The sequence below is a fragment of the Homo sapiens genome, chromosome 1 (genome assembly GCF_000001405.40).
Source record: "Homo sapiens chromosome 1, GRCh38.p14 Primary Assembly".
Taxonomy (NCBI): domain Eukaryota; kingdom Metazoa; phylum Chordata; class Mammalia; order Primates; family Hominidae; genus Homo; species Homo sapiens.
Window position 1 is genome coordinate 2651261 of NC_000001.11, and position 12820 is coordinate 2664080.

Here is a 12820-nt window from a genome sequence, read left to right on the forward strand (position 1 = left end):
CAGCATTCTCCAATCCCAGGTGAGGATCTGACAACCTGGAATAGAACTCCACACCGGCAGGTGAGCATCTGACAGCATTGAATGGCACCCAAACCCATAGATGAGTATGGGACAGACTGGAGCAGCATTCTCCAGCCCCAGGTGAACTTGTGACAATCCGAAACACAACCCCACACACGCAGGTAAGCATCTGACAGCCAAGGACGCCACCCCACACACCCAGGTGAGCATCTGACAGCCTAGAATGGCACCACCACACTTAGGTGAGAATCTGACAGCCTGGATCAGCACTTCAATCTTCAGCTGAGTGTCTGAGAGCCTGGAACAGCACCCCACACCCCCTGGTGAGTATCTGACAGCTTGGAACATCACCCTGCATACCAGGAGGGCATCTGACAGCCTGGGAAGTCACCCCCACACCCAGGTGAGCATCTGAAACCCTACAGCACCACCCCTCTCCAACCTTCAGGTGATTATCTGACAACCTAGAACAGCACCCTCCACCCTCAGATGAGCATCTGACAGCCGGAAAAACACCCTCCACCACCAGGTGATCATCGGACAGCCTGGAACGGTACCACCAATTAGGTGAGCCTCTGATGGACTCAAACAACAACTCACGATTTTGGGTGAGCAGCTGAGAAACTAAGTTGGCACCCTGCACTCAGGGGAGCATCTGACAGCCTGAAGCAGCACCTTCCACCTCTAAGTGAGCATCTGATGGTCTGGAGCAGCATCCATACCCCAGGTGAGCACCTGACATCGTGGAGCAGCAGCCCACACCCACAGGTGAGCATCTGACAGCCTGGAGGAGCACCCACACCCCCAGGTGAGCATCTGACAGACTGGAACAGCACCCTGCACCCCCAGGTGAGCATCCGACAGCCTGGAACACAACCCACACCCCCAGGTGAGCATCTGACAGACTGGAACAGCACCCTGCACCCCCAAGTGAGCATCTGACGGCCTGGAACAGCACCCACACCCCCAGGTGAGCATCCGACAGCCTGGAACAGCACCCACACCCCCAGGTGAGCATCCGACAGCCTGGAGCAGCACCCACACCCCCAGGTGAGCATCTGATATCCTGGAACAGCACGCACACCCCCAGGTGAGCATCTGACAGCCTGGAGCAGCACGCACACCCCCAGTGAGCATCTGACAGCCTGGAACAGCACCCACACCCCCAGGTGAGCATCCGACAGCCTGGAGCAGAACCCACACCCCCAGGCGAGCATCTGACGGCCTGCAACAGCACCCACACCTCCAGGCGAGCATTGGAAAGCCTGGAGCAGCACCCACACCCCCAGGTGAGCATTGGACAGCCTGGAGCAGCACCCAGAAGCCCAGGCGAGCATCCGACAGCCTGGAGCAGCATCCACACCCCCAGGTGAGAACCTGACATCGTGGAGCAGCAGCCCACACCCACAGGTGAGCATCTGACAGCCTGGAGGAGCACCCACACCCCCAGGTGAGCATCTGACAGACTGGAACAGCACCCTGCACCCCCAGGTGAGCATCCGACAGCCTGGAGCAGCAACCACACCCCCAGACGAGCATCTGACAGCCTGGAATGGCACCCACACCCCCAGGTGAGCATCTGATGGTCTGGAGCAGCACCCACAACCAAAGGTGAGCATCGGAGAGTCTGGAGCAGCGCCCACACCCCCAGGCGAGCATCTGACAGCCTGGAGCAGTGCCCACACCCCCAGGTGAGCATGTGACAGCGTGGAGCAGCACCCACAGCCCAAGGTGAGCATCTGACAACCTGGAGCAGCAACCACACCCCCAGGCGAGTATCTGAACGCACGGAGCAGCACCAAAACCCCTAGGGGAGCATCCGACAGCCTGGAGCAGCACCCACACCCCCAGGTGCGCATCTGATGGTCTGGAGCAGCACCCACACCCACAGGTGAGCATCTGACAGCCTGGAACAGAACCCACACCCCCAGGTGAACATCTGACAGACTGGAACAGCACCCACATGCCCAGGTGAGCCTCTGACAACCTGGAACAGCACCCTGCACCCCCAGGTGAGCATCTGACAGCCTGGAACAGCACACACACCCCCAGGTGAGCATCTGACAGCCTGGAACAGCACCCACACCCCCAGGCGAGCATCTGACAGCATGTAACAGCACCCACACCCCCAGGTGAGCATCTGACAGCCTGGAACACCAGCCTGCACCCCCAGGTGTGCACGTGACAGCCTGGAACAGCACCCACACCCCCAGGCGAGCATCTGATGGCCTGGAACAGCACCCACACCCCCAGGTGAGTATCTGACGGCCAGGAATAGCACCCACACCCGCAGGTGAGCATCTGACATCGTGGAGCAGCACCCTACACCCACAAGTGAGCATCTGACAGCCTGGAGCAGCATCCACACCCCCAGGCGAGCATCTGACAGCCTGGAACAGCACCCACACCCCCAGGTGAGCATCTGATGGTCTGGAGCAGCACCCACAACCACAAGTGAGCATCGGAGAGTCTGGAGCAGCGCCCACACCCCCAGGCGAGCATCTGACAGCCTGGAGCAGTGCCCACACCCCCAGGTGAGCATCTGACAGCATGGAGCAGCACCCACAGCCCAAGGTGAGCATCTGATGGTCTGGAGCAGCACCCACACCCACAGGTGAGCATCCGACAGCCTGGAGCAGCACCCACACCCCCAGGTGAGCATCTGATGGTCTGGAGCAGCACCCACAACCACAGGTGAGCATCGGAGAGTCTGGAGCAGTGCCCACACCCCCAGGCGAGCATCTGACAGCCTGGAGCAGTGCCCACACCACCAGGTGAGCATCTGACAGCGTGGAGCAGCACCCACAGCCCAAGGTGAGCATCTGACAACCTGGAGCAGCACCCACACCCCCAGGCGAGCATCTGAACGCACGGAGCAGCACCCACACCCCCAGGCGAGCATCCGACAGCCTGGAGCAGCACCCACACACCCAGGTGAGCATCTGACAGCCTGGAGCAGCACCCACACCACCAGGTGAGCATCTGACAGCCTGGAAAAGCACCCTGCACCCCCAGGTGAGCATCTGACAGTCTGGAACAGCACCCATACGCTCAGATGAGCATCTGACAGCCTGGAACAGGACCCTGCACCCCCAGGTGAGCATCTGACAGTCTGGAACAGCACCCACACACCCAGGCGAGCATCTGACAGCCTGGAACAGCACCCATACGCCCAGATGAGAATCAGACGGCCTGGAAAAGCACCCTGCACCCCCAGGTGCGCACCTGACAGCCTGGAACAGCATCCACACCCCCAGGCGAGCATCTGACGGCCTGGAACGGCACCCACACCCCCAGGTGAGCATCCGACATCCTGAAACAGCTCCCACACCCCCAGGTGAGCATCCGACAGCCTGGAGCAGCACCCACACCCCCAGGTGAGTATCTGACCGCAAGGAATGGCATCCTCACCTCCAGGTGAGCATCGGACAGCCTGGAGCAGCACCCACACCCCTAGGTGAGCATCTGACAGCCTGGAACAGCAACCACACCCCGGGGCGAGCATCTGACAGCCTGGAACAGCAACCACACCCCCAGGCAAGCATCTGACAGCCTGGAACAGAACCCTGCACCCGCGAGTGAGGATCAGACAGCCTGGAGCAGCACCCACACTCCAGGTGAGCATCTGACAGCCTGAAGCAGCACCCACACCAACAGGTGAGCATCTGACAGCCTGGAACAGCACCCACACCCCCAGGTGAGCATCTGACAGCCTGGAACAGCTCTCACAACCCCAGGTGAGCATCTGACAGCCCGGAACAGCACGCTGCACCCCCAAGTGAGCACCTGACAGCCTGGAGCAGCAACCACACCCCCAGGTGAGCATCCAACAGCCTGGAACAGCACCGACACCCCCAGGTGAGCATCCGACAGCCTGGAGCAGCACCCACACCCCCAGGTGAGCATCTGATATCCTGGAACAGCACCCACACCCCCAGGTGAGCATCTGACAGGCTGGAGCAGCACGCACACCCCCAGTGAGCATCTGACAGCCTGCAACAGCTCTCACAACCCCAGGTGAGCATCTGACAGCCCGGAACAGCACGCTGCACCCCCAAGTGAGCACCTGACAGCCTGGAGCAGCAACCACACCCCCAGGTGAGCATCCAACAGCCTGGAACAGCACCGACACCCCCAGGTGAGCATCCGACAGCCTGGAGCAGCACCCACACCCCCAGGTGAGCATCTGATATCCTGGAACAGCACCCACACCCCCAGGTGAGCATCTGACAGGCTGGAGCAGCACGCACACCCCCAGTGAGCATCTGACAGCCTGCAACAGCTCTCACAACCCCAGGTTAGCATCTGACAGCCTGGAACAGCACGCTGCACCCCCAAGTGAGCATCTGACAGCCTGGAGCAGCAACCACACCCCCAGGTGAGCATCTGACAGCCTGGAACAGCACCCTGCACCCCCAGGTGAGCATCCAAAAGCCTGGAGCAGCACCCACACCCCCACGCGAGCATCTGACAGCCTGGAACGGCACCCACACACCCAGGTGAGCATCTGATGGTCTGGAGCAGCACCCACAACCACAGGTGAACATCGGAGAGTCTGGAGCAGCGCCCACACCCCCAGGCGAGCATCTGACAGCCTGGAGCAGTGCCCAAACCCCCAGGTGAGCATCTGACAGCGTGGAGCAGCACCCACAGCCCAAGGTGAGCATCTGACAACCAGGAGCAGCACCCACACCCCCAGGCGAGCATCTGAACGCACGGAGCAGCACCCACACCTCCCGGCGAGCATCCGACAGCCTGGAGCAGCACCCACACCCCCAGGTGCGCATCTGATGGTCTGGAGCAGCACCCACACACAGAGGTGAGCATCTGAGAGCCTGGAACAGAACCCACAGCCCCAGGTGAGCATCTGACAGACTGGAACAGCACCCACATGCCCAGGTGAGCCTCTGACAGCCTGGAACAGCACCCTGCACACCCAGGTGAGCATCTGACAGCCTGGAACAGCACACACACACCCAGGTGAGCATCTGAAAGCCTGGAAGAGCACCCACACCCCCAGGCGAGCATCTGACAGCATGCAACAGCACTCACACCCCCAGGTGAGCATCTGACAGCCTGGAACAGCACCCACACCCACAGGTGAGCATCTGACAGCATGTAACAGCACCCACACCCCCAGGTGAGCATCTGACAGCCTGCAACAGCACCCTGCACCCCCAGGTGCGCACGTGACAGCCTGGAAGAGCACCCACACCCCAAGGCGAGCATCTGACGGCCTGGAACGGCACCCACACCCCCAGGCGAGCATCGGACAGCCTGGAGTAGCACCCCACACCCCCAGGTGAGCATCCGACAGCCTGGAGCAGCACCCACACCCCCAGGTGAGCATGTGACAGCCTGGAAGAGCACCCACACCCCCAGGCGAGCATCTGACAGCCTGGGTCGGCAACCACACACGCAGGTGCGCATCTGATGGTCTGGAGCAGCACCCACACCAACAGGTGAGCATCTGACAGCCTGGAACAGAACCCACACCCCCAGGTGAGCATGTGACAGACTGGAACAGCACCCACATGCCCAGGTGAGCCTCTGACAGCCTGTAACAGCAGCCTGCACCCCCAGGTGCGCCCGTGACAGCCTGGAACAGCACCGACACCCACAGGCGAGCATCTGACGGCCTGGAACAGCACCCACACCCCCAGGTGAGCATTGGACAGCCTGGAGCAGCACCCACAACCCCAGGCGGGCAACCGACAACCTGGAGCAGCACCCACACCCACAGTTGAGCATCTGACTTCGTGGAGCATAACCCCACACGCACAGGTGAGCATCTGACAGCCTGGAGCTGCACCCACACCCTCAGGTGAGTCTCTGACAGCCTGGAACAGCACCCTGCACACCCAGGTGAGCATCCGACAGCCTGGAGCAGCACCCACACCCCCAGTTGAGCATCTGATGGTCTGGAGCAGCACCCACAACCACAGGTGAACATCAGAGAGTCTGGAGCAGCGCCCACAACCCCAGGCGAGCATCTGACAGCCTGGAGCCGTGCCCAAACACCCAGGTGAGCATCTGACAGCATGGAGCAGCACCCATAGCCCAAGGTGAGCATCTGACAACTTGGAGCAGCACCCACACCCCGAGGTGAGCATCTGACCTCCCGGAGCAGTACCAGTACCCCCAGGCGAGCATCTGAACTCATGGAGCAGCACCCACGCCCCCAGGCGAGCATCTGACCGAACGGAGCAGCACCCACAACCCCAGGCGAGCATCTGACAGCATGAAACAGCACCCAGAACTCCAGGTGAGCATCTGACAGCCCGCAGTAGCACCCACAAGCACAAGTGAGAATCTGACAGCCCAGAGCAGCACCCACACCCCCAGGGGAGCATCTGACCGCATGGAGCAGCACCCACACCCCCAGGAGAGCATCCGGCAGCCTGCAGCAGAACCCACACCAACAGGCGAGCATCTGACAGCCTGGGTCGGCACCCACACCCTCAGGTGAGCATCTGACGGCCTGGAACAGCACCCACACCCCCAGGTGAGCATCTGACATCGTGGAGCCGCACCCCACACCCACAGGTGAGCATCTGACAGCCTGGAGCAGCACCCACACCCCCAGGTGAGCATCTGACAGCCTGGAACAGCACCCTGCACCCCCAGGTGAGCATCCGACAGCCTGGAGCAGCACCCACCACTCCCAGGCCAGCATCCGATAACCTGGAGCAGCACCCACAACCCCAAGTGAGCATCTGATTGTCTGGAGCAGCACCCACAACCACAGGTGAGCATCGTAGAGTCTGGAGCAGCGCCCACAGCCCCACGCGAGCATCTGACAGCCCGGAGCAGTGACCACACCTCCCGGTGAGCATCTGACAACAGGGAGCAGCACCCATAGCCCATGGTGAGCATCTGACAACCTGGAGCAGCACCCACACCCCCAGGTGAGCATCTGATGATCTGGAGCAGCACCCACAACCACAGGTGAGCATCGGAGAGTCAGGAGCAGTGCCCACACACCCAGGCGAGCATCTGACAGCCTGGAGCAGTGCCCACACCCCCAGGTGAGCATCTGACAGCGTGGAGCAGCACCCACAGCCCAAGGTGAGCATCTGACAACCTGGAGCAGCACCCACGCCCCCAGGCGAGCATCTGAACACACGGAGCAGCACCCAAACCCCCAGGCGAGCATCCGACAGCCTGGAGCAGCACCCACACACCCAGGTGAGCAACTGACAGCCTGGAGCAGCACCCACACACCCAGGTGATCATCTGACAGCCTGGAACAGCACGCTGCCCCCCCAGGTGAGCATCTGACAGCCTGGAACAGCACACACACCCCCAGGCGAGCATCTGACAACCTGGAACAGCACCCATACGCCCAGATGAGCATCTGACAGCCTGGAACAGCACCCTGCACCCCCAGGTGAGCATCTGACAGCCTGGAACAGCACCCACACCCCCAGGTGAGCATCTGACCGCATCACATGGCATCCTCACCCCCAGTTGCGCATCTGATGGTCTGGAGCAGCACCCACACCCACAGGTGAGCATCAGACAGCCTGGAACCGCAGCCACACCCCCAGGCGAGCATCTGACAGCCTGGAGCAGCATCCACACCCCCAGGTGAGCATTTGACAGCCTGGAACAGCACTCACACCCCCAGGAGAGCATCCGGCAGCCTGGAGCGGAACCCACGGCCACAGGCGAGCATCTGAGAGCCTGGGTCGGCACCCACACCCCCAGGTGAGCATCTGATGGTTTGCGGCAACACCGACACCCACAGGTGAGCATCTGACAGCCTGGAACAGAACCCACACGCCCAGGTGAGCATCTGACAGCCTGGAACAACAGCCTGCACCACCAGGTGCGCATGTGACAGCCTGGAACAGCACCAACACCCCCAGGCGAGCATCTGACGGCCTGGAACAGCACCCACACCCCCAGGTGAGCATCAGACAGCCTGGAACAACACCCATACCCACAGGTGAGCATCTGACATCGTGGAGCAGCACCCCACACCCACAGGTGAGCATCTGACAGCCTGGAGCAGCACCCACACCCCCAGGTGAGCATCTGACAGCCTGGAACAGCACCCACACCCCCAGGTGAGAATCTGATTGTCTGGAGCATCACACACAACCACAGGTGAGCATCGGAGAGTCTGGAGCAGCACCAACATCCCAAGGTGAGCATCTGACAACCTGGAGCAGCACCCACACCTCGAGGTGAGCATCTGTCCTCCCGGAGCAGGACCCATACCTCCAGGCGAGCATCTGAACCCATGGAGCAGCACACACGCCCCCAGGCGAGCATCTGACCGAACGGAGCAGCACCCACAATCCCAGGCGAGCATCTGACAGCCTTTAACAGCACCCACAACCCCAGGTGAGCATCTGACAGCCCGCAGCAGCACCCACACGCACAGGTGAGAATCTGACAGCCCGGAGCAGCACCCACACCCCCAGGGGAGCATCTGACCGCATGGAGCAGCACCCACACCCCCAGGGGAGCATCTGAAATCCTGGAGCTGCACCGACAACAACAGGTGAGCATCTGAGAGCCTGGAACAGCTCCCGCACCCCCAGGTGAGAATCTGACAGCCTGGAAGAGCACCCCATATCCCCGGGTGAGCATCTGACAGCCTGGAACAGCACCCACTCCCCCAGGTGAGCACCTGACAGACTGGAACAGCACCCACAGGCCCAGGTGTGCCTCTGACAGCTTGGAACAGCACGCGCACCCCCAGGTGAGCATCTGACAGCCTGGAACAGCACCCACACCCCCAGGCGAGCATCTGATAGCCTGGAACAGCACCCACACCCCCAGGAGAGCATCCGGCAGCCTGCAGCAGAACCCACACCAACAGGCGAGCATCTGACAGCCTGGGTCGGCACCCACACCCCCAGGTGGGCATCTGATGGCCTGGAACAGCACCCACACCCCCAGGTGAGCATCTGACATCGTGGAGCAGCACCCCACACCCACAGGTGAGCATCTGACAGCCTGGAGCAGCACCCACACCCCCAGGTGAGCATCTGACAGCCTGGAACAGCACCCTGCACCCCCAGGTGAGCATCCGACAGCCTGGAGCAGCAACCACACTCCCAGGCGAGCATCCGATGACCTGGAGCAGCACCCACAACCCCAAGTGAGCATCTGATTGTCTGGAGCAGCACCCACAACCACAGGTGAGCATCGTAGAGTCTGGAGCAGCGCCCACAGCCACAGGCGAGCATCTGACAGCCCGGAGCAGTGCCCACACACCGAGGTGAGCATCTGACAACAGGGAGCAGCACCCATAGCCCATGGTGAGCACCTGACAACCTGGAGCAGCACCCACACACCCAGGTGAGCATCTGATGGTCTGGAGCAGCACCCACAACCAGAGGTGAGCATCGGAGAGTCAGGAGCAGTGCCCACACACCCAGGCGAGCATCTGACAGCCTGGAGCAGTGCCCACACCCCCAGGTGAGCATCTGACATCGTGGAGCAGCACCCCACACCCACAGGTGAGCATCTGACAGACTGGAGCAGCACCCACACCCCCAGGTGAGCATCTGACAGCCTGGAACAGCACCCACATCCCCAGGTGAGCCTCTGACATCGTCGAGCAGCACCCCACACCCACAGGTGAGCATCTGACAGCCTGGAACAGCACCCACACCCCCAGGTGAGAATCTGATGTTCTGGAGCATCACACACAACCACAGGTGAGCATCGGAGAGTCTGGAGCAGCACCCACAACCCAAGGTGAGCATCTGACAACCTGGAGCAGCACCCACACCCCGAGGTGAGCATCTGACCTCCCGGAGCAGGACCCATACCTCCAGGCGAGCATCTGAACCCATGGAGCAGCACCCACGCCCCCAGGCGAGCATCTGACCGAACAGAGCAGCACCCACAACCCCATGCGAGCATCTGACAGCCTGGAACAGCACCCACAACCCCAGGTGAGCATCTGACAGCCCGCAGCAGCAACCACACGCACAGGTGAGAATCTGACAGCCCGTAGCAGCACCCACACCCCCAGGGGAGCATCTGACATCCTGGAGCAGCACCGACAACCCCAGGTGAGCATCTGAGAGCCTGGAACAGCACCCACAACCCCAGGTGAGAATCTGACAGCCTGGAAGAGCACCCCACATCACCGGGTGAGCATCTGACAGCCTGGAACAGCAACCATACCCTCAGGTAAGCATCTGACAGACTGGAACAGCACCCACACGCCCAGGTGAGCCTCTGACAGCCTGGAACAGCACGCGCAACCCCAGGTGAGCATCTGACAGCCTGGAACAGCACCCACACCCACAGGTGAGCATCTGACAGCATGTAACAGCACCCACACCCCCAGGTGAGCATCTGACAGCCTGCAACAGCACCCTGCACCCCCAGGTGCGCACGTGACAGCCTGGAAGAGCACCCACACCCCAAGGCGAGCATCTGACGGCCTGGAACGGCACCCACACCCCCAGGCGAGCATCGGACAGCCTGGAGTAGCACCCCACACCCCCAGGTGAGCATCCGACAGCCTGGAGCAGCACCCACACCCCCAGGTGAGCATGTGACAGCCTGGAAGAGCACCCACACCCCCAGGCGAGCATCTGACAGCCTGGGTCGGCAACCACACACGCAGGTGCGCATCTGATGGTCTGGAGCAGCACCCACACCAACAGGTGAGCATCTGACAGCCTGGAACAGAACCCACACCCCCAGGTGAGCATGTGACAGACTGGAACAGCACCCACATGCCCAGGTGAGCCTCTGACAGCCTGTAACAGCAGCCTGCACCCCCAGGTGCGCCCGTGACAGCCTGGAACAGCACCGACACCCACAGGCGAGCATCTGACGGCCTGGAACAGCACCCACACCCCCAGGTGAGCATTGGACAGCCTGGAGCAGCACCCACAACCCCAGGCGGGCAACCGACAACCTGGAGCAGCACCCACACCCACAGTTGAGCATCTGACTTCGTGGAGCATAACCCCACACGCACAGGTGAGCATCTGACAGCCTGGAGCTGCACCCACACCCTCAGGTGAGTCTCTGACAGCCTGGAACAGCACCCTGCACACCCAGGTGAGCATCCGACAGCCTGGAGCAGCACCCACACCCCCAGTTGAGCAACTGATGGTCTGGAGCAGCACCCACAACCACAGGTGAACATCAGAGAGTCTGGAGCAGCGCCCACAACCCCAGGCGAGCATCTGACAGCCTGGAGCAGTGCCCAAACACCCAGGTGAGCATCTGACAGCATGGAGCAGCACCCATAGCCCAAGGTGAGCATCTGACAACCTGGAGCAGCACCCACACCCCGAGGTGAGCATCTGACCTCCCGGAGCAGGACCCATACCTCCAGGCGAGCATCTGAACCCATGGAGCAGCACCCACGCCCCCAGGCGAGCATCTGACCGAACAGAGCAGCACCCACAACCCCATGCGAGCATCTGTCAGCCTGGAACAGCACCCACAACCCCAGGTGAGCATCTGACAGCCCGCAGCAGCAACCACACGCACAGGTGAGAATCTGACAGCCCGTAGCAGCACCCACACCCCCAGGGGAGCATCTGACATCCTGGAGCAGCACCGACAACCCCAGGTGAGCATCTGAGAGCCTGGAACAGCACCCACAACCCCAGGTGAGAATCTGACAGCCTGGAAGAGCACCCCACATCACCGGGTGAGCATCTGACAGCCTGGAACAGCAACCATACCCTCAGGTAAGCATCTGACAGACTGGAACAGCACCCACACGCCCAGGTGAGCCTCTGACAGCCTGGAACAGCACCCACACCCCCAGGCGAGCATCCGACAGCCTGGAGCAGCACCCACACACCCAGGTGAGCAACTGACAGCCTGGAGCAGCACCCACACACCCAGGTGATCATCTGACAGCCTGGTACAGCACGCTGCCCCCCCAGGTGAGCATCTGACAGCCTGGAACAGCACACACACCCCCAGGCGAGCATCTGACAACCTGGAACAGCACCCATACGCCCAGATGAGCATCTGACAGCCTGGAACAGCACCCTGCACCCCCAGGTGAGCATCTGACAGCCTGGAACAGCACCCACACCCCCAGGTGAGCATCTGTCCGCATCACATGGCATCCTCACCCCCAGTTGCGCATCTGATGGTCTGGAGCAGCACCCACACCCACAGGTGAGCATCAGACAGCCTGGAACCGCAGCCACACCCCCAGGCGAGCATCTGACAGCCTGGAGCAGCATCCACACCCCCAGGTGAGCATTTGACAGCCTGGAACAGCACTCACACCCCCAGGAGAGCATCCGGCAGCCTGGAGCGGAACCCACGGCCACAGGCGAGCATCTGAGAGCCTGGGTCGGCACCCACACCCCCAGGTGAGCATCTGATGGTTTGCGGCAACACCGACACCCACAGGTGAGCATCTGACAGCCTGGAACAGAACCCACACGCCCAGGTGAGCATCTGACAGCCTGGAACAACAGCCTGCACCACCAGGTGCGCATGTGACAGCCTGGAACAGCACCAACACCCCCAGGCGAGCATCTGACGGCCTGGAACAGCACCCACACCCCCAGGTGAGCATCAGACAGCCTGGAACAACACCCATACCCACAGGTGAGCATCTGACATCGTGGAGCAGCACCCCACACCCACAGGTGAGCATCTGACAGCCTGGAGCAGCACCCACACCCCCAGGTGAGCATCTGACAGCCTGGAACAGCACCCACACCCCCAGGTGAGAATCTGATTGTCTGGAGCATCACACACAACCACAGGTGAGCATCGGAGAGTCTGGAGCAGCACCAACATCCCAAGGTGAGCATCTGACAACCTGGAGCAGCACCCA

The 12820-nt window shown here is 61.7% G+C and overlaps 1 protein-coding gene across 1 annotated transcript in view, besides 5 other annotated features; it reads right to left on the reverse strand.

The window, feature by feature from the left end:
• TTC34 (tetratricopeptide repeat domain 34) overlaps window positions 1-12820 on the reverse strand; it is a 164708-nt gene that overhangs the window by 14275 nt on the left and 137613 nt on the right. The window lies entirely within an intron of this gene.
• Window positions 3784-4288: an enhancer, noted in NCBI's record as "OCT4-H3K4me1 hESC enhancer chr1:2586483-2586987 (GRCh37/hg19 assembly coordinates)". NCBI's record gives its function as "activates a minimal SCP1, AML or CMV promoter by ChIP-STARR-seq in naive and primed H9 embryonic stem cells {active_cell/tissue: H9 hESC(naive and primed)}" and the evidence as "EXISTENCE:reporter gene assay evidence [ECO:0000049][PMID:30033119]".
• Window positions 4850-5144: a silencer, noted in NCBI's record as "tiled region #15700; K562 Repressive non-DNase unmatched - State 25:Art". NCBI's record gives its function as "represses a minimal TATA promoter and a strong SV40 promoter by Sharpr-MPRA in K562 cells {active_cell/tissue: K562}" and the evidence as "EXISTENCE:reporter gene assay evidence [ECO:0000049][PMID:27701403]".
• Window positions 5179-6070: an enhancer, noted in NCBI's record as "OCT4 hESC enhancer chr1:2587878-2588769 (GRCh37/hg19 assembly coordinates)". NCBI's record gives its function as "activates a minimal SCP1, AML or CMV promoter by ChIP-STARR-seq in naive H9 embryonic stem cells {active_cell/tissue: H9 hESC(naive)}" and the evidence as "EXISTENCE:reporter gene assay evidence [ECO:0000049][PMID:30033119]".
• Window positions 6192-6703: an enhancer, noted in NCBI's record as "OCT4-H3K4me1 hESC enhancer chr1:2588891-2589402 (GRCh37/hg19 assembly coordinates)". NCBI's record gives its function as "activates a minimal SCP1, AML or CMV promoter by ChIP-STARR-seq in primed H9 embryonic stem cells {active_cell/tissue: H9 hESC(primed)}" and the evidence as "EXISTENCE:reporter gene assay evidence [ECO:0000049][PMID:30033119]".
• Window positions 7216-7727: an enhancer, noted in NCBI's record as "OCT4-H3K4me1 hESC enhancer chr1:2589915-2590426 (GRCh37/hg19 assembly coordinates)". NCBI's record gives its function as "activates a minimal SCP1, AML or CMV promoter by ChIP-STARR-seq in primed H9 embryonic stem cells {active_cell/tissue: H9 hESC(primed)}" and the evidence as "EXISTENCE:reporter gene assay evidence [ECO:0000049][PMID:30033119]".